The sequence below is a fragment of the Homo sapiens genome, chromosome 15, assembly GCF_000001405.40.
Source record: "Homo sapiens chromosome 15, GRCh38.p14 Primary Assembly".
Lineage (NCBI taxonomy): Eukaryota > Metazoa > Chordata > Mammalia > Primates > Hominidae > Homo > Homo sapiens.
This window is the reverse complement of record NC_000015.10, coordinates 83,011,692-83,036,694: the sequence shown is the minus strand read 5'-3', so window position 1 is coordinate 83,036,694 and position 25,003 is coordinate 83,011,692. Positions and strand designations below refer to the sequence as shown.

Genomic DNA, 25,003 nt, shown 5'->3' with positions numbered 1-25,003 from the left:
ATGATTTATCCATTTTACTGTTGTTGGATATATGGATTATTTCTGTTTGGGGACCATTGAGGCCATTCTTGTACGTGTGATTTGGTATACATACGTAAACATTTCTGTTGGATATATACGAGTGGAATTGCTAAGTCATGGAGTGTGCATATGGTCGGCTTTAGTAGATCCTGCCATCCTGCCAAACAGTCCCTTAAAGTGGTTGTAACAGTTTACACTCATCAACAAAGTGAAGAGACATAAGAGTTTGTTTTGGTTGCCCACATCCTCTCCAATACTTGGTATTGTCAGTTTTTGTAGTTCTAGCCATTTGTGTGGATGTGAGGACGTATTTCATTTTGGTTTTAAATTTCATATCACGGATGATTAATGATGTTGAATATGCCAATAATTTTTTAATCCAGTCTGACAGACTTTGTCTTTTATCTGAACTGTTTTGGTTCACTTGCACTTAATGTAATTACAGATATATTTGGGTTTATGTTTACCATCTTGCAATTTGTTTTCTACTTGTCACATCTTTTTTTTTTTTTTCCTTTCTTGCTTTCTTTTAGAGGAATCAAGCTATTATTCTTTTTTTTTTTTTTTTTTGGTAATGATACAGTTTTCCCCCTTATTCTGTGAATATAGTGAACTACATTAATTGATTTCCCAATTTAAACCTATTTTGGATTCCTTACGTAAATCAGACTTGGTTGTTATGCATTATCCTTTTTATATATTACTGGATTTAATTTGCTGAATTTTTAATGTATTTTTATGACTACTGAATGAGAGAAATTAGTCTATATATATTTTTTTTTCTTGCAATGAAATTGTCAAAATTGTCCTCATACAAAAGTTAGAAATATTTCCTTTTTTTCCCCCAGTGTTCAAGAGTTTGTATTATTAATTTTCTCCTGGAACCAACTTCTAGCTTTATTAATTTTCTCTATTACAGTATGTTTTCCATTTCATTACTTTCTGCCTTTTTCTTTATTACTTTCTTTCCTTTCTTTGCTTTTAATTTGCTGGGGTTATTTATTTTATTAGTCTTTGTGACTTTTTGAGATACTTAGAAGGTCAACCTATATTCTTTTTGAATGCATATATTTAAGTGTATATTTTTTCTCTCAGCATCCTTCCCCCCCACAGTTTTTAATATGTGTATTTTCATTAGCATTCGATTAAGAATTTTTAATTTTTGCTTTTTTTTTCTTTGACTCATAAATTATAGATAACTTAATTTCCAAATATTTGAGATTTCTTCTTATCTTGCTCTTGCTGATTTCTGTCTTAATTCCAGTATAGTCAGAAAATATATTCTATATCATTTCAATGCTTTGAAATTTGTTGATATCTGCTTTGGCCCAGCATATGGTAGTTTTATTTATTTTTTATTATTTTGTTTTATTTATTTTTGAGACAATGTCTCACTCTGTCACCCAGGCTGGAGTGCAGTGGCATGATCTTGGCTCACTGTAACCTCCGCCTCCTGGGGTCCAACGATTCTCCTGCCTCAGCCTCCCCGGTAGCTGGGATTACAGGCATGCGGTGCCACGCTCGGCTAATTTTTATATTTTTAGTAGAGACAGGGTTTCACCATGTTGGCCAGACTGGTCTCAAACTCCTGACCTCAGGTGATCCACCCATCATGGCCTCCCAAAATGCTAGGATTACAGGCATGAGCCACCGTGCCTGGCCCATACGGTAGTTGTAATAAGTATCCATGTATACTTGAGAAGAATGTATTCTTCTTTGTTATGTGCAGAAAAACCTGAATAGTCCTGTATCTGTTCAACAGATTGAATACTATATCTATGAAAGGAATATATACTAATGATCTTCAAATTTTCTATGTATCTATCTATTGATTTGCTTTTTGTTCTATCAGTTACTAAAAGAAGTAGATTTAAATCTCAGGGTATGATTGAGAATGTGTTTCCTTTTGGTTCCATCAGTTTTCTTCTTTATTTTCTTCTTTATTTTAGGTACCTTCAAATTTAGGATTTTTTTTTATATTGAATTTGCTTCTTTATCTTTACAGTCTATCTCATCTTAAATCTAAACTTATTGTGGGTTTTTGTTTTTTATTTTATTTTTTGAGACAGTCTCCCTCTGTCACCCAGGCCGGAGTTCAGTGGCACAATCTTGGCTCACTGCAACGTCCACCTTCTGGGTTCAGGCAATTCTCATGCCTCAGCCTCCTTAGTAGCTGGGACTACATGTGTGCACCACCACACCCTGCTAAATTTTGTATTTTTAGTAGAGATGGGGTTTTGCCATGTTGGCCAGGCTAGTCTCGAACTCCTGGCCTCAAATGATCAGCTTGCCTCAGTCACCCAACATTCTGGCATGAGCCACCACGCCTGGCCTAAACTTCTTGTTTTAAAGTCTTTGTCTGATATTGGTATAGTTTCTCAAGGTTTTTTAAATTCTATATCTTTCTCATCCTTTTACTTTTAGCCTTACATTATTTTGACCATGTCTCTTGTAAGCTTCATTTTTAAAAAATTCAGTCTGACAGACTTTGCCTTTTATTTGGAATATTTGGTTCACTTTATATTTAATATGATTAATAGTCTATTAAACTTTCTTTTTCTTTTTCTTTTTTTTTTTTTTTTTGGTGTAGACAGTGTCTCCTCTGTCACCCAGGCTGGAATGCAGTGGCATGATCTCAGCTTACTCCAGCGTCAACCTCCTGGGCTCAGGTTATCCTCCCACCTCAGCCTCCCGTATTAAAGATTCTTTTATTATTATTTTAGTGGGTTGCCCTTGTTATTACAAGAATATATCCTTATTGATTTTTAAATTAAATCTTAAAAATTAAATTTTTTAGATGGGGCACAGTGGCTCATGCCTTTAGTCCCAGCACTTTGGGAGGCTGAGGCAGGTAGATTGTTTGAGTCGAGTTCAAGACCAGCCTCGGCAAAATGGCGAAACCCTGTCTTTACAAAAAAAAATTTAAAAATTAGCCTGGAGTGGTGGTACACACCTGTAGTCCCAGCTACCTGGGGGGCTGAGGTGGGGATCACTTGAGCCCAGGAGTTCAAGGCTGCAGTTAGCCGTGATCACACCACTGCACTCCATACCTGGGCAACAGTGAGACCCTGTCTCTAAATAAATAAATAAAATTAAAATTTTTAAATTAAAATTTTCTACACAATATAAAGGCATTATTGATACTTTTGCTATATTTAACCTTCTCTAGCCTTTGGTGCTACTATTTCATGTATTTTAATGTTTCATATGTTATAAAGCCCACAAAACATTATTTTTAAAGTCAATAATCCTTTTGATTTGCCTATATATTTGCCCTTTCAGTTATCTTCATTTTTTTCTGTATGACCAGATGTGTGCTTCTATCTGGGCACATTTCTGTTAGCTTGAAGAATTCTCTTCAATATTTCTTTTAAAACAGGTAGGATACTAACCAGATTCTCTCAACTCTTTTTTTCTTTTGTCTAAAAACATCTTTATCTTACCATTTTTTTTAAAAAAAGAGATGGGGCCCTGCTGTGTTTCCCTGGCTGGAGTGCAGTGGCTATTCACAGCTTCAAAATTCTGGCCTCAAACAATCCTCCCACCCCAGCCTCCTGAGTAGCTGGGACTAGAGGGGCACACTGCTGAGCCCAGCTTGCCTTCATTTTTGAAGGATATTTTTCTGGGTAGAAAGCTCAAGGTTGACAGTTATTCCCATCTATCATTTGAATGCAATTCTATTCTGTTTTTTTTTTTTTTTTTTTGAGACAGAGTAAGACTGTCACCCAGCCTGGAGTGCAGTGGCACAATTTCATCTCAGTGCAACCTCCACCTTCCAGGTTCAAGTGATTCTCCTGCCTCAGCCTCCTTAGTAGCTAGGATCACAGGCACCCACCACCGCCCTTGGCTAAATTTTGTGTTTTTAGTAGAGATGGGGTTTCACCATGTTGGGGAATGGTACCAAACATGTAGGCTTTTATCGCTCACCTCCCTCCTACCATTCCCCCCAAGTCCCCAAAGTTCATTATATCATTCTTAGGCCTTTGCCTCCTCATAGTTTCTTAGCTCCCACTTATAAGTAAGACCATATGGTATTTGGTTTTCCATTCCTGAGTTACTTCACTTAGAATAATGGCCTCCAAGTTCATCCAAGTTGCTGCAAAAGCCTTTGTTTCGTTCCATTTTATGGCTGAGTAGTATTCCATGGTGTATGTATACCACATTTTCTTCATCCAGTTGTTGGTTGATGGGCATTTAGGTTGGCTCCATATTTTTGCAGTTGGTAGTGCTGCTATAAACATGTACGTGCAAGTATCTTTTTCATGTAATGACTTATTTTCCTTTGGGTAGGTATCCAGTGGTGGAATTGCTGGATCAAATGGTAGTTCTAATTTTAGTTCTTTTTTTTTTTTGGAGACAGAGTCTCGCTGTGTTGCCCAGGCTGGAGTGCAGTAGTGCGATCTCGGCTCACTGTAACTTCTGCCTCGCAGGTTCCAGTGATTCTCCTGCCTCAGCCTCCCGAGTAGCTGGGACTACAGGCGCACATCACTGCACCCAACTAATTTTTGTATTTTTGTTAGAGATGGGGTTTCACCATGTTGGTCAGGCTGGTTTCAAACTCCTGACCTTGGGATCTGCCTGCCTCGGCCTCCCAAAGTGCTGGGATTACAGGCATGAGCCACCACCCCCAGTCCTTTTTAGTTCTTTAAGGAATCTCCATACTGTTTTCCTTAGTGGTTGTACTAGTTTACATTCCCACCAGCAGTGTAAAAGAGTTCCCTTTTCACCATATTCACGCCAACATCTATTTTTCTTTTTTTATTTTTTAATTATGGCCATTCTTGCAGGAGTAAGGTGGTACCTTATTGTGGTTTTAATTTGCCTATGTATGATAATCAGTGATGAGCATTTTTTCTTATGTGTATTGGCCGCTTGTATATCTTCTTTTTTTTTTTAATTATACTTTAAGTTCTAGGGTACATGTGCACAACGTGCAGGTTTGTTACATACGTATACGTGTGCCATGTTAGTATGCTACACCCATTAACTTGTCATTTACATTAGGTATATCTCCTAATGCTATCCCTTCCCCCTCCCGCTGCCCCACAGCAGGCCCCGGTATGTGATGTTCCCCTTCCTGTGTCCAAGTGTTCTCACTGTTCAGTTCGCACCTATGAGTGAGAACATGCGGTGTTTGGTATTTTGTCCTTGTGATAGTTTACTGAGAATGATGGTCTCCACCTCCATCCATGTCCCTATAAAGGACACGAACTCATCATTTTTTATGGCTGCATAGTATTCCATGGTGTATATGTACCACATTTTCTTAATCCAGTCTATCATTGATGGACATTTGGGTTGGTTCCAAGTCTGCTGGGCGAAGGATATGAACAGACACTTCTCAAAAGAAGACATTTATGCAGCCAACAGACACATGAAAAAGTGCTCATCATCACTGGCCATCAGCAAAATGCAAATCAAAACCACAATGAGATACCGTCTCACACCAGTTAGAATGGTGATCATTAAAAAGTCAGAAAACAACAGATGCTGGAGAGGATGTGGAGAAATAGGAACACTTTTACACTGTTGGTGGGGCTGTAAACTAGTTCAACCATTGTGGAAGATAGTGTGGCGATTCCTCAAGGATCTAGAACTAGAAATACCATTTGACCCAGCCGTCCCATTACTGAGTATATACCCAAAGGATTATAAATCATGCTGCTATAAAGACACATGCACACGTATGTATAGCTTCCTTTGAGAATTGTCTCTTCATGTCCTTTGCCCACTTTGTGCTGGGATTATTTGTTTTTTTTTTCTTGCTGATTTGAGTTGTAGATTCTGGATATTAGTCCTTTGTTGGATGCATAGTTTGCAAATATTTTCTCCCACTCTGTGGGTTGTCTGTTTGCTCTGCTGATTATTTATTTTGCTATGCAGAAGCTTTTTAGTTTAATTAGGTCTCATTCATTTGTTTTTGTTTTTGTTGCATTTGCTTTTGGGTTCTTAGTCATGAATTCTTTACCTAAGCCAATGTCTTGAAGAGTTTTTTTGATGCTATCTTCTAGAATTTTTATGGTTTCTTAGATTTAAGTCTTTGATCCATCTTGAGTTGATTTTTGTATAAGGTGAGAAAGGAGGATTCCTGGCATCCATGAGGAATAGCATTTATTCCTGGATCTAAGTTTTGACTAATTAATGCTTTTAACATTTTAATTAATGTGTTTAACCTCAAATGGATTTATTGAAACCTTAAAATATATGCAAAAATTATATATGCTAAGATTTTTTTCCCCTATTTTTATGTTACGTCCTCTAGATTTGAATTTACGTTAAGTGAATTCCAAAGTTAGGAATTGAAATCAAATTCCTTTTTTTAGGCTTATGTTTTTATTTCCACAGGTCCTGCTCAATCTGGAATTTTGTCAGATCGTGAAGTGGTAAACCTCTTTCTTCATTTTACTGTCAACCCTAAACCCCGAGTTGAATACATTGACCGACCAAGATGCTGTCTCAGGGGAAAGGAATGCTGCATCAATAGATTCCAGCAAGTAGAAAGCCGCTGGGGTTACAGTGGGACGAGTGATCGAATCAGGTATCTGTTATATTGGGGATGCGGGGGTAGAGTGGGGGTAGCAGTTACCATTTGGCCTTTTTTATATATTATGGGAGATAATTAACCAACATTTCATTTTATACTTCATTTAATACACTTTTAAGTTAAGTTAATATAGGAGTCAAGAAGTCACTGAGGCATCCTGCCCTCCTCACTGATTTATGAGTGAGGGTGACTTCTTAAGAAAAAAATAGAGTAAGAAAGGATTGGGTTGGACCTTCTGTTACGTGATTTTTTTGTTTTTCCCCAAGATGGAGTCGCTCTGTCACTCAGGCTGGAGTGCAGTGGTGGGATCTCTCACACTGCAACCTCCGCCTTCTGGGTTCAAGCGATCCTCCCACCTCAGCCTCCTGAGTAACCTGTAAGGCATGCATCACCACGCCCAGCTAATCTTTTTGGATTTTTAGTAGAGACGGGGTTTCACCATGTTGTCCAGGCTGGTCTCGAACTACTGACCTCAAGTGATCCACCTGCTTCAGCCTTCCAAAGTGCTGGGGTTACAGGGGTGAGCCACCACGCCCAGCTGTTACATGATTTTTGTTTGGATCACCACTGCCAGTGGGCTGAGTTCTAGACCTTAATTGATCAAACGTTATTTTTACAGGCTTAGGGCTACAATTAATAAATGTAACCTTACTATGTTTAGTGTGAGTTTTTTCTTTGCATAGATGTTGCAGGGAAAGTATCTCAGTATACATTTATAAAAGCCTTGAGAAAAAAATCAAGAATCTTGAAAAATGCATGCGTATAATCCTGTTGAAGAAATTGTCTTTGCTGTACTGTGTTTCTTTAGGTTGAATGTCAAAATAGAATCAGTGCCGGTTTTCACAAAACATGACTTTTGGATTTTCATTTATTTAATAGCACTTCAGTATAAAACTGGAAATTAACAAGTTTGTTAAAACAGAAAAATCTGGTTGGATGTGGGACTATTATAAATCTTAAGTTAACATGGAAATTAAAAATGTACTTGTAGACTATTTAATAATAATTCACAATAACTATATGCAAAAATTATGGGATGAGGCCAAAGCTGCACACAAAGAAAAAGTAATAATTAACTACTTGTAGTAAATAGAGTAGAAATAAATGATTTAAGCATTCAGCCCAAGTAGCTAGAAAACAAATAGCAAAAGAACTATAAGAAAAGAGAAAGTAAATAGATAAATGTAGAAATTAATGAATTAGAAATAGTAGAATTCATAAATCCATAAGCTGGTTCCTTTAAAAGACCAATAAAATAAATAAACCTCTGGCAAAGGTAATAAACATTCACATTTAGAAGCAAAAATGGGAATATAATTATATGCTGACATTTTTATTTTAATTCTGGGTTTATTCTGTGCTAATAAATTGAACATGTTGATGGAATGGATCATTTTATAGGCAAATATAAATTATCAAAATTGACTGAAGAAGAAAAGCCTGAATAGACCAATTACCATGGAAGGAATTAAAAGTTATCAAAGAACTGTCCCTTCACAAGGTGGTTTTTACAGGTGAGTTTTGTCAAATCCTCAAGGAACAGTTAGTTTCCTTGAGCATTAAAAGAATAAAGTACTACTTGGTTAATTATTGAAGGAAGCATAACCCTTATATAGGCATCAGACTAGACAAAAAAAATTCTAGATCAATCTCAATATAAAGAAGAAATTTTGTGTAAAACATTAGGATATTGAATCTGTACCTTCGAAGAATAACACTGTATGACCAAACAGAGTTTATTTGGAGATTGAAAGAATGGCTCAGTGTTAGGAAATGTATTAGTATAATTCTCACAACAGATCAAAGAAGAAAAACAATTTAATTTCAATAGATGTCAGAAAGGCTTTTGATAAAATTTCACCTTCCTTCCAGATATAATTCTTACTAGATTAGGCCTAGAAGAATACTTGTTTGACATGATAAACTATTGAAACCTCAAGATAGAGATATCCTTGCTGTTTAAAGCAGTGTTATTATAATTCTGATTGATTATTTGCTAATGGCATTATGTACATTAGTAGTTCACAACTCTATCAAACCCAGTTCTCTCTTTTTTTAATAAATATTTTGTAATTCCCACTTTACTAACCTGAAATAAAATTCATAGATAATATGCTTTATACATTTTTTAATTGATAAGTGATCTAGTTATAATATAAAGGGGAATAAATGTAATTGATAGTAAAATATGTAGTTCAATACATAGACTTTGGGCAGGACAACACTGGAAGGCAAACTGAAGTAGTTAGTTGCTGTACATATATGCATCACCATGATGAGACAGTTTCAGCTGCACAGTACAGGCGTGTTATGTCTTAAATATCATGAGCAGCATTGCTGCCACTTACGTTTTCTTTAAAGGTTCCAGGTAAAAGAGTATATATAGTTGGTCCTACTCATAGTGTCTATTTCTGAACTTGCCTACTGGCTGAAATTTATCTGTAACCTGTAAAGTCAATATTCGGGGCACTTTCTTAATCGTTTTCAGCAAAGACTTTAGTTGCCAGACCAGCACGTTTCCAGCTGTGGCTGAACAAGGCAAGGCTCTACTTTCCTGGTTCAGCTCTCCTACAGAGGTGGAGAAGGGGAGGGGCAGTGCAGTGGAGTGCAAGAAACTCTGGCTCTTGGGCAGGTTGAATGGGGCTTGAAGGCCAGCTCTGGCACCTCTTAGTGGGGCAGCCTCAGACAAGTCACTTAACACTTCCAAACTCTGTTTTCTCTTTTGTGGAATAAAGAAAATAGAATATACTAGGACGAGGTGTTTGTTTGTTTGTTTTGAGATAGAGTTTCGCTCTTGTTGCCCAGGCTGGAGTGCAGTGGTGCGATCCCGGCTCACTGCAACGTCCACCTCCCAGGTTCAAGCGATTCTCCTGCCTCAGGCTCCCAGGTAGCTGGGATTACAGGCATGTGCCACCACACCTGGCTAATTTTGTATTTTTAATAGAGACGGGGTTTCACCATGTTGGCCAGGCTGGTCCCGAACTCCTGACCTCAGGTGATTCACCAGCATTGGCCTCCCAAAGTGCTGGGTTACAGGTGTGACCCACCACGCCTGGCTGGATGAATTGTTTTTAGGACTTAAGATTATAATCTATGCGAGGCGTGTATATGTGTGTATATGTAGACATACATACATACACACACACACACACACACACACGTATTTCCCCTAGGAGCAGTGGTTTAGTATTTGCTAATTCTGTATATTAAATATAACTTCCACAGATAATGAGAATTGACTGTATATTCCTTCTGTTTATATGGTAGTTGCCTCTTGTAAAAGTCTGAATATTAAAATTGCACTAAAAGGCTGGGCACAGTGGCTCATGCCTGTAATCCCCACACTTTGGGAGGCCGAGGCGGGCGGATCACCTCAGGTCGGGAGCTCGAGACCAGTCTGACCAACATGGAGAAACCCCGTCTCTACTAAAAATACAAAATTAGCCAGGTGTGGGGGCACATGCCTGTAATACCAGCTACTTGGGAGGCTGAGGCAGGAGAATTGCTTGAACCTGGGAGGTGGAGGTTGTGGTGAGCCAATATTGCACCATTGCACTCCAGCCTGGGCAACAAGAGCAAAACTCCGTCTCAAAAAAAAAAAAAAAAAAAAAAGCACTAAAAAATCTGGTTTATAAACAAAATGGAATGAGGTTCAAGGCTTGTAGTTATAAACAGATTTTTTACCTACATGAATTCTGGCAAGACACTTAAAAGTTGATTGAGTTATGGGAGACTGTTCTGTGCATTTCAGGAAATCCAGTTTCCCTAGTTCCTTGCCAGTAGTGCCCCCCTAAACCTTTGTGAAATCGAGTATGCCTCCTTGGGGGTGGAACTCGTTTTGAGAACAACTGGTCCACCTAGGTAACCTCAGTATCAAGCTAAAAAACTACTAGAACCAATAAAAGAGAATAGTGGCCACTTATAAAAAGTATATTTAAAAACCATTGGTGTTCCTGTATGTCATCAAAATTCAGTTACAGAGATGAATAATGGTGACAGTTGTACAATGATATGAATGTATTTAGTGCCATTGAACTGTACACTTAAAAATGGTTAAAATGGGCCAGGCGTGGTGGCTCATGCCTGTAATCCCAGCACTTTGGGAGGCTGAGGCGGGCGGATCACAAGGTCAAGAGATCGAGACCATCCTGGCTAACACGGTGAAACCCCGTCTCTACTAAGAATACAAAAAATTAGCCGGGCGTGGTGGTGGGCACCTGTAGTCCCAGCTACTCGGGAGGCTGAGACAGGAGAATTGCGTGAACCCGGGAGGCGGAGCTGGCAGTGAGCCAAGACCACGCCACTGCACTCCAGGCTGGGTGACAGAGTGAGACTCCATCTCAAAAAAAAAGAAAAAATGGTTAAAATGGTACATAACTTTACCACAAAAAAATTATAATGTAAAAGAATTTAGTTATAATTGAGTAAATATCATTAAATATTTTGAGTATTATGTTACTATTACAATATGTTACTGTATTGTAGTAATTTTATATATCACTATATATGTTGAATATTACTGTAGTATTGTGAATAATCCCATTCATAACAGTAACATAATATTAAGTAGTAGGATTAAACCCAGTAAGAACTATAAAGTACATTAGCTTTATGAAGAACTGGAAAAGTTTGAGTAGAATCAGACTTTAATAAGGACAGTGTCTTCCAAATTAACCTATGTATGTTAGAGAATTTCTTTCAGAAGTCACATACTATTTTAAGGTAGTGGAGAATGGCTTGGCAAAATTCTTTTTTTTTTTTTTTTTTTTTTTGTGATGGAGTCTTGTTTTGTTGCCCAGGCTGGAGTGCAATGGTGAGATCTGGGCTCACTGCAACCTCCGCCTCCTGAGTTCAAGTAATTATTCTCCCTGCCTCAGCCTCCCGAGTAGCTGGGATTACAGGCGTCTGCCACCATGCCTGGCTAGTTTTTGTATTTTTAATAGAGACTGGGTTTCACCATGTTGGTCAGGCTGGTCATGAACTCCTGACCTCAGGTGATCTGCCCACCTCCAGCCTCTCAAAGTACTGGGATTACAGGTGTGAGCAACCACACCCGGCTGGCAAAATTCTTAACAGTTAATTTGGAAGAGTATATGTTTCTCTTTTAATAAGAGTAATACAGATGACAAGACAAAGTATTGTAAAGCTATAGGAAGTTAGTGTTGTATGGAACAGACTATAGATGTCAGAAACTAACCTAACATAAATGAACATTTAGAAAATGATATGGCCAGGTGTACTGGCTCACGCCTGTAATCCCAGCACTTTGGGAGGCTGAAGTGGGTGGCTCACTTGAGCCCAGGGGTTTGAGAGCAGCCTGCACAACATGGTGAAACTCCATCTCTACAAAAAAATTCAAAAATTCAGCATGGTGGCATGCACCTGTAATCTCAGCTACTTAAGAGGCTGAGGAAGGAGGCTGTGATCTCACCACTGCACTCCAGCCTGGGCAACAGAGCAAAACCCTGTCTCAAAAACAAAAAAGAATATGATAAAGGTGAGGGAAGGATTAACCACTGGGAAAATTAAGTTAGATCCTTACTGATCCCATGTACCTGTATTGATGTAAATTAAAATTTTAACATTAAACAAAACTGAAACCATGAAAGTGCTGGAACAGGTGAATGTTTATGTACTATGAGGATGAGGTAGACCTCTCTAAACTTGGCATGTATCATAATTTTGAAAACAGATAATTGAAAAGTTTTAAGTACAAAATCACCATAAAGTTAAAAGATGAGTGACAAATGGGAAACTTATTACAGTGGATATTACCAACAAAGCATAAATAACTATCATCTCTATATAATGTGATCTTTTGAATCTACATTAAAAAGACAAACACATCTGTAGAGAAAAATGAGAAAAGAACATGAGTTGGGTATTTCATTAGAGAGAAAATCCAGTGGGCAGTAAGCATATGAGCAAATGTTTTACCTCATTAATAATCAAATAAATAGGCTGGGCATGGTGAGTCACACCTGAAATCCACGCACTTTGGGAGGCTGAGGCGGGTGGATCTGTTGCGCTCAGGAGTTCCAGACCAGCCTGGGCAACATGGTGAAACCCCCATCTCTACAAAAAAATATAAAAATTAGCTGAGCATGGTAGCGTGTGCCTGTAGTCCCAGCTACTTGTGGGGGCTGAGTTGGGAGGATCGCTTGAACCTGGGAGGTTGAGGCTGCAATGAGCCGAGATCGTGCCATTGCACTCCAGACTGGTTGACAAAGTGAGATCCTGTGTCAAATAGTAACAGTAATAATCAAAATATAAATGGAGTTTGTCACTATCAGTTTCTCAAAGGCAAAAGAAAATGAAAAATATTCCTGGTTGATAAGAGTGAGAGAAAAATGATCGTTATACCTTATGGGGTATAAAATGTTATCTTTCCAGAAAGCAACTTGACAATGTTTACCTAAAGCCTTAAGACTGTGCCTTTTGACTGGGTGTGGTGGCTCACACCTGTAATCAAAACATTTTGGGAGGCCAAGGCAGGAGGATCACTTACTTGAGCCCAGGAGTTCAAGATCAGCCTTGGCAACATAGTGAGACCCCGCATCTACAAATAATAATTTTTAAAAAATTAGCAGCATGTAGTGGCATGCACCTGTGGTCCCAGATACTCAGGAGGCTGAGGCAGGAGGGTCGCCTGAGCCCAAGAGGTTGAGGCTGCAGTGAGCCATGATTGCACCACTGCTCTCCAGTTCGGGTGACAGAGCAAGACCCTGTCTAAATAAAAAAAATAAAAATTTTTTAAAGAATGTGCCTTTTATTTTCACCAGCAGTTCTAGGAATTTATTCCAAGGAAAATAATTAAGGCTTCATAAAATGATTTAGCTATAGGATTGTTCCTCATGGCATTATTATATAATAACAAAAACTGCAAATAATCTAGATTATCCAACAAGGCATTAGTTAAATATAGTGAATTGGTAGTTTTTTTAACCATTTTACATGAAAAAGAGGTTACAAATATATATATATTCTGATATGATTTTTTAAATTACATATATGTTCATAGAAATGTAACTGAAAAAGAAATATAAAGGATTAAAAATTGTAAGGGGTTAGCAAGGGCTGTCTGGATTTATGGAAGCTTTAAAATTTTCCTCTTATTTAGCTGCATTTTCTGTTTTTTTTTAAGCACAATGTATTATTTATTTATTGATTGAGGTGGAGTCTCGCTCTGTTGCCCAGGCTGGAGTGCAGTGGTGCAGTCTTGGCTCACTGCAATCTCTGCCTCCAGGTTCAAGCGATTCTCCTGCTTCAGCCTCCTGAGTAGCTGGGACTACGGTGCACACCACCACACTCAGTTAATTTTTGTATTTTTAGTAAAGACAGGGTTTCACCATGTTGGCCAGAATGGTCTCGATCCCCTGACCTCATGATCCACCTGCCTCAGCCTCCCAAAGTGCTGGGATTACAGGCGTGAGCCACTGTGCCTGGTCTATTTTTTTTTTTTCTTTTTGAGATGGAGTCCCGCTCTGTTGCCCAGGCTGGCACCATCTCAGCTCACTGCAACCTCCGCCTCCCGGGTTCTAAGCAATTCTCCTGCCTCAGCCTCCCGAATAGCTGGGATTACAGGGGTGTGCCACCATGCCTGGCTAATTTTGTATTTTTAGTAGAGGTGAGGCTTCACCATGTTGGCCAGGCTGGTCTCGAACTCCTGACCTCAGGTGATCCACCCACCTCAGCCTCCCAAAGTGCTGGGTTACAGTCATGAGGCACTGTGCCTGCCCTACTTTTTTATAATAAAAAATTATAAATAACATATTTTAGAGCCAGGAGTGGTAGCTCATGGGTATAATCCCAGCAACTCAGGACAATGAGTTGGGAGTATCATCTGAGACCAGTTCTAGACCAGCCTGGGCAACTTAGTTAGACTCCATCTGTAAAAAAAAAAAAAAAAAAAATTAAACTAGCAAGGAATGGTGGAGTGTGTCTGCAGCCCAGCTACTTGGGAGGCTGAGGTGGAAGGATCACTTGAGCCCAGGAGTTCAAGCCTGTGGTGAGCCATGATTGTACCACTGTACCCCAGCCTCGGCAATAGAGCAAGACTCCATCTCTTTAAAAAAAATTACATGTTTGTAAGCGTTTAAGGTGATCTTACTGTACCAGATGTTCAAAATAGTACTGTTATCTAGCTTATAGGGCTGTTACGATGACTAAAGGAAATAATTCTGTAAAGAACTGAAGTTCAGTGCCTGGCACACTAGGAAGTACTCATGAAGTGGTATTGATGAGTTAGTATTACTAATAATTGAAGGTGTTGCTGACAATGTTGAGAGTTACTCAATGTAATTTTGCAATGTAAGACATTATAATTATGTCAGATTTTACAGGCTTTTAGTTCCATATGTATTATTATTATTATTATTATTATTATTTGAGAAGGAGTCTCGCTCTGTCACCCAGGATGGAGTGCCGGGTCACCTGCAGCTTCCTTCTCCCAGGTTCAAACGATTCTCCTGCCTCAGTTTCTCTAGTAGCTGGGATTACAGGTGCCTGCTATCATGCCCAGCTAACTGTTATATTTTTAGTAAAGACAGGGATTTGCCATGTTGGCCAGGCTGGTCTGAAACTCCTGACCTCAGGTAATCCACCTGGCTCAGCCTCCCAAAGTGCTGGGATTGCAGTGTGAGCCACCACACCCAGCCTCAGTTCCATATGTATTTAATGTCAGTTTTTATTCATTTACAAAATGGAGTAAGATGGGTCAATATTTCTTAACTATTATGACCAAACTGGACTTGTTAATTATTCTAGTTAGGAAACTGCATTCGAATCCTGTCCCATCCCTCTGCTACCAGTATTCTGTTAGAGTAGCCTACTTCCTTCACAGCTCTTGTTACAATTTGTAATTATTTATTTATTCCTTTCTTGCATTATCAGTGTCCTCCATTAGACTGTATGCACAATGCAGGTAGAAACTGTCTTGTTGACCATTACTTCCGCAGTGCCAAGCCTAGTACCTAAATATGATAAGCCCTTAGTAAGTATTTGTTGAATTGATAATTGTCGTAGTTTGAGATGCTGGGCTTCAGTCCTAATGGCTGAGATGTCTGCGTTCATGAAAAAGATGTACAAATATTTGGACTCGTATAGCACTAAAATTATCATTACAACAAAAGTGGGTATTTAGGTTAAATTCTTTTACAAAACCAATTCTTAGGTTCCTCTTAAGTTCAAATCTGCTCTAGAAAGCTTTTTGGTAAGCAAACAGATGACATTTCCAAGGATATCTAATTTGTTTTCCTTTTTATAAGCAAAACTGGATGTTCCAGGTTACACTTAAAAAAAATTATAACCCTTCAGAATATGAACACATGGGATTAATTATATTTTATTTTTGGCTTCTTTCTCTCAGATTCACAGTTAATAGAAGGATCTCTATAGTTGGATTTGGCTTGTATGGATCTATTCATGGCCCTACAGATTATCAAGTGAATATACAGGTACAGTTTCCTCCCCCACCATATATCATTTTGAAATAACACAAACAGGTAACTTTAAGATATTGTTTTGACAGAATCCAAATTTCAATATAATTGTCAAAGCAATCAGAAGGCCCCTTAGTAGCATTGTAAGCATAAAGAGTTCTGTTTTAGAGTTGATCTAAAAAGTCTGGTTGCAGAAAATTGGGGTCCTTCACAAAAGCAGTAGCATATAAGGAGCTCTTCTTTGTCCAGGAATCCCTTCTATTAGTACTTCCTGCTGTGCAGTCTTAAAACATCCTCCTGCCTTTTTCATGGCCCTTTCAACTCTAGGACTGAAACTAAATTTCTTGTAACTGGTGTGAGCATCCTGTGACTTCCAAGGGGCTGAGCAGACCCTGCTTTATTCTTGGTTACTTTTTTTTGAGACAGGGTCTCACTTGGTCGCCCAGGCTGAAGAGCAGTGGTGCGATCACAGCTCACTTCAGCCTTAATCACCCAGGCTCAAGCAATCCTCCCACCTCAGCCTCCCAAGTAGCTAGGACCACAGGTATGTGCCACCATGCCCAACTAATTTTTCTTTCTTTTTTTTTTTGTCTCGCTGTGTTGCCCAGGGTGGTCTTGAACTCCAGGGCTCAAGTGATCTTCCTGCCTTGGCCTCCCAAGGCATTGGGATTACAGGCATTAGGCCCCTGCTTCTTTTTTTTTTTTTTTTTTTTTTTTTTTGAGATGGAGTCTTGCTCTGTTGCCCAGGCTGGAGTGCAGTGGCGCGATCTTGGCTCATTGCAAGCTCCGCCTCCCGGGTTCACACAATTCTCCTGCCTCGGCCTCCTAGCACTTTGGGAGGCCAAGGAAGGTGGATCACGAGGTCAGGAGTTTGAGACCAGCCTGGCCAACATGGTGAAACCCTGTCTCTACTAAAAATACAAAAAAATTAGCTGGGCATGGTGGTGCATGCCTGTAATCCCAGCTACTCGGGAGGCTGAGATAGGAGAATTGCTTGAACTGGGACCTGGGAGGCAGATGTTGCAGTGAGCCAAGGTCATGCCACTGCCTTCCAGCCAGGGCTACAGAGTGAGACTCCGTCTCAAAAAAAAAAAAAAAAAGACACCAGGCTTCTTGTGTACAAACTGTGGGAGGGCATCAGGATTATAGGTACATTAAAATTATGAAGTATAAATACTGTGAGTAAAATAATAGAAACAGTCTGGGCGCAGTGGCTCAGATCTATAATCCCAGTACTTTGGGAGGCCGATGTGGAAGGATTGCTTGAGCCCAGGAGTTCCAGACCAGCCTGGGCAACAGAACACGATCCCATCTCTACAAAAAAAATGAAAAATTAGGGCTGGGCGCAGTGGCTCACACCAGCACTTTGGGAGGCTGAGGTGGGCAGATCGCTTGAGACCAAGAGTTGGAGATCAGCCTGGCCAACATGATGAAACCCTGTCTCTACTAAAAATACAAAAAAATTAGCCAGGTGTGGTCGCGCACATCTGTAATCCCAGCTACTCAGGAGGCTGAGGCACGAAAATTGCTTCAGCTTGGGAAGTGGAGGTTTCAGTGAGCCGAGACCCCAACACTGCACCCCAGGCTAGGCAACAGAGTGAGAGAGTCTGTCTCAAAAACACACACACACACACACCCACCAACAGAGTGAGAGAGTCTGTCTCAAACACACACACACACACACCACCCCCCACCCCCCCACCCCCAAGGCTAGGCAACAGAGTGAGAGTCTGTCTCAAAACACACACGCACACATTGCTAAGGGCTTTATATTATTTTCTATAGTTTGCTTTATTTGGTTTAACTTAAATGTAACTTGTCTCTTAAAAATTACAGATCATTGAATATGAGAAAAAGCAAACCCTGGGACAGAATGATACCGGCTTTAGTTGTGATGGGACAGCTAACACATTCAGGGTCATGTTCAAGGAACCCATAGAGATCCTGCCCAATGTGTGCTACACAGCATGTGCAACACTCAAAGTAAGAGTCATGCACTATGTTCCAGATGGTTTCCTCTTGAATGTTGCAGAATGTGTGTTTTAGAAGCTGAGAGTCACTGACAGCTGAGCCATTTATAAAGAGGGGGGAAAAGAAGCTGGGAGCTAAAATATTCCACTGCCTTCCGAAAAGAAGTACTTCTCCCCACAGCTCTGTTCTGAAAGAAATAGCTCTTCTTAAGAAGTAGCCCTTTGTTTCAGTAAGCAGTTGAATGTTTGGCAGAAAATAAAAGTTATTTTTGTAAAATCTTTTCACTATTCTCTAATAGCTGGGCTGTACATTCAGTATTTTTATTCATTAATTAGTTTTTTGGTAAAAACTTCATTTTTCTCTAAATGACAGCATAAAATTTTATATAGGAATGATAGTGAAATATAATGGAACATTAATCTAATTAAAACACCACATTAAACTGAGTGCTTATTAAATGAAAATTACTAAGGAACCTTTTGTTCTCATTTAGGGTCCAGATTCCCACTATGGCACAAAAGGATTGAAGAAAGTAGTGCATGAGACACCTGCTGCAAGCAAGACTGTTTTTTTCTTTTTTAGTTCCCCTGGCAATAATAATGGCACTTCAATAGAAGATGGACAAATTCCAGAAATCATATTTTATACATAATTTAGCATTATAATACATCTTGGCTAAATAATACCATACAATCTAGTGTCAAAAACATAAATGGCCACAAAAAAGTAGTTTGAGTGTTATGAATATTTAAAATTGTAAGATAAGAAACAGTTTCTTAGAGCAGATAGAAAAATGCTTATTTAAATCTTTGCATGATTTAAAAACAGATTTTCCATTTTCTTACAACTTTAAGAGAAAAGAACTGGGTTTAATGGTTTAAAAAAAAGCACAGCTTTTTCACCTTCATCTTGTATAATTTCATAGATTGGCTGACTTAGGGTCTTTCAATAGTTTGGGAATTGAAAGATTCTTGTTATATATAGCTAGTTTGGGTTTGTTTTTGTTTTAACTATTTTGAAGGTTAGGTGAGATGGGCAAATAGGCTTAACTATTTTGAAGGTTGGATGAAAAGAGATGGGTCAGTATTCCTACAGAATTCTTATTAACTCAAATAACTAAATTTCAGAAAATTAAGAAGCTGACTTTATATTTGGTGGTTTGAAGTATCTTGTTGTTAGCATTTGTAATAATGCTAAAAAAGGCCTAATAAAATGCCCAAGAAAATATTCAGTGCATTTATAGAGAAGGATATTTTGTAGTAGTATAGTAATGTGTTATGTAGTACAGTTTTAAAGCTATAAATGGAATTTTGTGTAAATTCACAAAAATGTGATATAAACAGGATCTAAGACTGGATTCCCTGTCACTAAACTGCACCACTATACCTGTCTCTCTGTGTGGGGGACACTGCTGATGATTCCCAAGATTGAGATGATGACGGTGATGACGACTGGGTGAACAGCCATCACTTCAACATTGTGATAATCCTTCACAGCAAGAAACCGAATAAAATACTAACATTTCTAACAACTGCTCTGACATTGTAAAGAGATCCAACAGAATCACTCCTGCTGAAAAATACGCTTTCTGCCACCTACACATTTCTATTTAGGAAGTAAAATTTGCTTCATGGTCATGACCCCATTAGTCAGTGTTACAGCTGTGTTGGGGATAGGAAGTATATCTGGCAGATTGATATTTATACACTTTTTTATAAAGCAGATTTTAAAATATAGTAACATCCATTTTTTTCCCTTGAAAGTGATTCTCTTATAAAAAATGAAAGTGGAGTTTAAGGTATATCAAATCGTTGTGGAAGGTGATTAAAAATCAAAATTCTTTTAAATATCAACTTAATTTTTTCTAAGTAAGATACAAAAAATTTTCATCTAAAGTAATATTTCACTTTATATTGTAAAGAAGGTAGGTATATTGGTGGCTGAGGTCTCTTGAAATTGCTAAAGGGAAATTTTTCTATGGTAATGCTCTTACGGATATAAACCTCAGTTAAATGGAATTATCTATGGGATGTGTGGTTCTGGTTAACTAAAAATTAACCAGTAAACACTCTGTAGTAACCATTACAGAAAATACTTCTGCCTTAAAAAATATGATATGCCAGAGATGAGTTAGTGTTTCTTGACGTTGGAGACCTTTTAAATGCCTCATCTGTTGTACTGAACAATTGAAACTGCATGCAGCCATAAAAGGGACAAGAAACAGAACTGTTTACTAACTTTGGGACATCCCCTGGAGTTTTTAAAAATAAATAAATATATATATATATAAAAAAAACTCTTTTATGTCATTTGCCTTTTTCTTCTAAAAGTGAATATAAACAGAATTTTGATTTGTTTTTTGTTTGTTTTTTGAGATGAAGCCTCGCTCTGTTGCCAAGGCTGGAGGGCAGTGGTGCAATCTCGGCTCACTGCATCCTCCACCTCCTGGATTCAAGCTATTATGCGGCCTCAGCCTCCAGAGTAGCTGGGATTACAGGTGCCCACCACCACGCCCAGCTAATTTTTGTATTTTTAGTAGAGATGGGGTTTCACTATGTTGGCCAGGCTGGTCTCGAACTCCTGACCTCAGCTGCCTTGGCCTCCCAGAGTGCTGGGATTGATTACAGGCGTGAGCCACCACGCCTGGCTGTCAACACCATTTTGGAACAAAGGTTCTAGTTAATTGAGGTTTAACTTAATGGGAGTAATGCAATACAAAATACAAATACCTCATTGCTGATTTAAACCAGTTCATAGGAACTGCAGTGATAACTGCCGCAGCCTTTTGTTTCTTGATCATTTCTTGTGGCCTCAGGTTTTTCTCCTGTTCTAATCAGGAGGTGGAGGTTGAATGTGGGAGAATCCAATAAATAATCTTATTTACTGTTAAGAGTGTGACTATCATCTTACAGCTGTTTATTAATAACTACCCAAGTGACTACTAGGCTCTGCAATGAGTACTTTACTACATTCTTACTTGTTTCTCACAGCATCAGTATGAGGGAAGTACCCATTTCACAGGCAAAGAAATTAAAAGGTCAGCTAGGCTGGGCACGGTGGCTCACACCTGTAATCCCAGCACTTTGAGAGGCTGAGACAGAAGGATCACTTGAGGCCAGGAGTTCAAGACCAGCCTGGGCAACATAGACCCTGTCTCTGAAAAATAAGAAAATTAGCTGGGTTGTGGTGGCACGTGCCTATAGTTGTAGCTGCTTGGGAGGTTGAGGGGAGGATTGCTTGAGCCCAGGGGTCCAAGATTACAGTGAGTTATGATTGCACCACTGTACTCCAGCCTGGGCGATAAAGCAAGATCCTGTCGGGGCAGGAAAAAAAAAGTTTATTAAGTGGTGGGAGGTGGAATTTAAACCCATTTACAGAGTTGAGAAAATATTTTGCTGGGTCCAAAAATAACATGTCACTATTCTCAAACTTTGCATTGAGACCCAGAAAGATACTTGACTAATCTATATTTACTGTAAAATATACTATTTTAAGAAAGTGTGATATTCCAGTATCTACCCAACAAATCGAGATTACTTGCATTATCAGAGTATTGATAGTAGTAACTAGTTTTTTTTTTAAATTATTTTTAACCTGGGAATAAACTTGTAAGACATTAAAGAGAGCAAGGTCTTCAATGTGATATGCGCAATGTGTTTGAAACATTGTCCCACTTTTTAGTGCTTCTTCAAACCACTTTCTACTTCCTGTTCTAGTCATCCAGATTCGAGACCTGGAATTATCCCCCAATTAGAAAAAACACATCCTTCACAAGAAGGATGGTACCATCGCAATCCCAGCCCCAACAACCAGCCCCAGAGCTACACTGTGTATTTATTCACATACACCTAGTTTATATGCTTTTAAAAATCCCTTTTCCTGTTTCTCCATTGCGAGTTTTTAAGTGGGACTCTATTTAAAACAAGATAAAATGAGGCCTGTAGTTGCGCAGCTACTGAGGAAGCTGAGGCAGGAGCATTGCTTGAATCCAAGAGCTTGAGACCAGCCTGAGCAACATGGCGAGATCCTGTCTCAATAAAATGTGAACCACCACAAACATTTACAAGGGGTTTCCTGCCATTTGAATCAGTCCCTGTGTTTTCCCTCACCATTAGGCAATATGTCTTCCCACTCTGCCTCTCTCTCCCTTCAGGAGGCAGGGATGTGGGCAGGAGCAACAAGTCAGGTGCACAGTTTGGTGGCACATGGGGCGGATGGCTTTTCTCCTCCCCACTGGTGCAATGAAGTCCTCATATCCCCTACTCCTGAGTCACGTGTGGGAAAGGCTGAATGGTTCACAGCAGAGCACCTCTTAGCTCTCCTCACCCATCTAGCCAGATGCCATCGTAACTCACCTTCACAGACGTCCCCTTTATTTCCATGACAACTGCCAAACCTCTAATTGAGGCTGACGTGACTTCACCCAAAGCAGATTCTACAAATGACTGCTATATAATGCTGGTTCAGCTTTTGTGCCTCAATTCTTAACTGATTTCAAAGAAGGGAAATATGGTTTTGGTTTAACACCTGGCTCACTTTCTTCTGCTCAAGCCTTTATACTGCATGGCCTCAGTGGCCATGTGGACAACCCAGCTACACCTAGGTTTCCAGTTTCTTCTTTACCTCCAGCAACCTTCACCATTCCTTATCATGGCCACACCATATACCCTATCATGATGTGGAATTGCTCTACATCTGAAATAGGAAATTCAGACATCCCACTCTCTGGCCACAACCTTTGGTGTTTCTTCCAGCTCTCACTCACATTCCAGTTACACCCGTTATTGAACCTAAGACTGCAGCCCCTTGTCCTCTCTGTTCTTTTCTTCTTTACTTCCTTCTTTACCCAGTTAGACTCTACTTTTGGTCTCCCTCAACCCCTCTCCACCTTTGGTCTTTAATAACTTTAACCATTTCATCAATAACCCTCAACCCACTTAAATATACCTGAATCAATCCAGTTGTCTGCCTTATCTTCAACTTCCTGACTGCTTTGGTAGTAGCACTGGGGCCAAAAAAAAATTTAATTAAAAAAAAAACTTCTTAGCTGGTGAATCCAGGCATCTAAAGTAACGTAACTATAGGCCAGGCGCTAGCTCACGCCTGTAATCCTAGCACTTTGGGAGGCCGAAGTGGGTGGATTGCCTGAGCTCAGGAGTTCGAGACCAGCCTGGGCGAAATGGCGAAACGCCCGTCTCTACTAAAAATACAAAAAATGGGTGTGGTGGCGCGCGCCTGTAGTCCCAGCTACTCTGGAGGCTGAGGCAGGGAGAATTGCTTGAACCTAGGAGGCGGAGGTTGCAGTGAGCCGAGATCCCGCCACTGCACTCCAGCCTGGGCGACAGGCTCTTCCCATCCCCCTGTCTCAAAAATAAACAAAAATAAAATAAGGTAACTATAGATTGGGATCATAGATGATTTCACGGTCTCCCTTAACTGTCTACCGCTGGGTGAGTTGCAATAGTCAGCCCTTTGCCATTCTCAAGAGTCCCAATATACCTTCAACACCTCCCCCGCCTTAGTTAATGAAAGAAATTCCACCTCCCATCACCAAACCTACAAACACAGCTACATGTCCACCTAAGCTTTCCCTTAGGAAGGAAGGAGTGTCTAAGGCCTCCTGTAGAGAACTCAATCTCTACTTGAGCTCAGATCCTACCTCTTCAGGAACCGTCCTCTGCTGTAACCTCTCTTCTCCTGGCTCTTTCCTACCAATCTTCAAATATGATAAAAATAAGTCTCTGAATGTCATGTGCCCCTCCAGATACCAATTGCTCCTTCACAGTGAAGTCACTGGATTATTCTCTACAATTATCTCCATTTCCTTCTCTCCACTAAAACTGCTGTAGCCCGGGTCACCACCACCACCCTGATTTCTAAATCTTGTGGCCACTTCTCAGTCGTTACATGTGACATGTTCTCTCCAGAGTGTTCATCACTGTTGATGTTCCCTCTTGAAGCGCCCTTCTTTAGCTGCCGTTACACCGTACTCCTACCTGGTCAGTGTCCTTTGGTGACTTCTCTACCTGCCCTTGCTGTTCTAACCTGGGCCCTCGTGCTCTTTACACACTCTCTCATCCATTTCCATAGCTTCAATTGCCATCTGCTTTCAGAAGATTCCAGAATCTCTATCACCAGCCTTGATTTCGCAAACTCCAGTCACATATATTCAGTTACCCCTTTAACATTTGTATTTGGATGTCCTGTGGGCATCTCAAACTCATTATGTCCAAAGCTGAACTCCTCACCTCGGCCTCCCAAACCTGTTCCTTGGGCCCCAAACCTGGGCATTTCCTTGACTTTTCCCCCTTATTCGCACATGCAGTCATTCCCAAGTTCTGATCATTTCAGTTCCTGAAGATCCTTGAAATGATCAGCGCTCCACCCTCCCTGCGGTTACTCTAGTTCAGGCCACCCTCTCCCATTTAGGGGGCGGATCTCCCTGTCTCTGGCTTTTCCTCTGTCGGCCACAGTGCAGCCGGTGTCTTTCTAAAACCCAGCAAATTGGGCTGCTAATAATCCCTTGCTTGAAAGCCTTCAGTGACTCCATGATCTTGCCTCTGCTGATTTGTTTCATGTCTCTCCATATCACATGTCGCAGTGTATTTCCTCTTCTTTTACATTGTGGGATCCGCTGCGCCTGGCACAAGGTAGGTGCGCCATCGATACGTGGAAGATTCACAAGGGCCAAGCCGCCACGAGGCTCTATATCGACTTGATGGCCACAGGCAGCGCGTGGGACTCTGCATCTGCTGCTTGGCTGTGGGAGCGAGAAGACACCTGGCCCTGTGCACTCCTTGCCGCGCTCTCCAATTCTGAGAAGTGACAATACCTTTCTTTCCCCGATTAGGAAAGAGGTGACACACCTTCCTATCAGCTGAGCAGGGTGGGCCAAGACACGGTGAGGCCTCAGCTCCGCAGCTCCACTTCCTGGGGCTCGGCCCGTTCCAGAACAAAAGAGACTCGCGCATGTTCTGCGGCCACGAGACTCGCTCCCGCCGGCCTTAAGGTGTCGCCCTCTGGCCAG

General features: G+C 40.1%; 1 protein-coding gene and 1 long non-coding RNA gene across 4 annotated transcripts in view, besides 1 other annotated feature; one reads left to right on the top strand and one right to left on the bottom strand.

Moving 5' to 3' along the window:
* Positions 1 to 20,272, top strand: part of BTBD1 (BTB domain containing 1) — a 50,830-nt gene extending 30,558 nt beyond the window's left edge. Inside the window, exons 5-8 of one of the 3 annotated variants that reach the window (NM_025238.4) lie at positions 6,367 to 6,559; positions 15,933 to 16,020; positions 17,842 to 17,988; positions 18,470 to 20,272. In NM_025238.4, coding sequence (NP_079514.1) covers positions 6,367 to 6,559; positions 15,933 to 16,020; positions 17,842 to 17,988; positions 18,470 to 18,628 — 587 coding nt within the window. In that variant the 3' untranslated portion in view covers positions 18,629 to 20,272. Of the gene's footprint in view, positions 1 to 6,366; positions 6,560 to 7,966; positions 8,080 to 15,932; positions 16,021 to 17,841; positions 17,989 to 18,469 lie in introns of those variants that run through there. The other 2 variants (XR_007064459.1, NM_001011885.2) reach the window with 2 other exon arrangements.
* The window catches only part of LOC124903542 (uncharacterized), a 50,105-nt gene extending 25,151 nt beyond the window's left edge, over positions 1 to 24,954 (bottom strand). Inside the window, exon 1 of the long non-coding RNA XR_007064742.1 lies at positions 23,636 to 24,954. This is a non-coding gene — a long non-coding RNA (uncharacterized LOC124903542). The remainder of the gene's footprint in view (positions 1 to 23,635) is intronic.
* Positions 24,819 to 24,878: an enhancer, noted in NCBI's record as "active region_9968". NCBI's record gives its function as "activates an Ori minimal core promoter by ATAC-STARR-seq in GM12878 lymphoblastoid cells {active_cell/tissue: GM12878}" and the evidence as "EXISTENCE:reporter gene assay evidence [ECO:0000049][PMID:35858748]".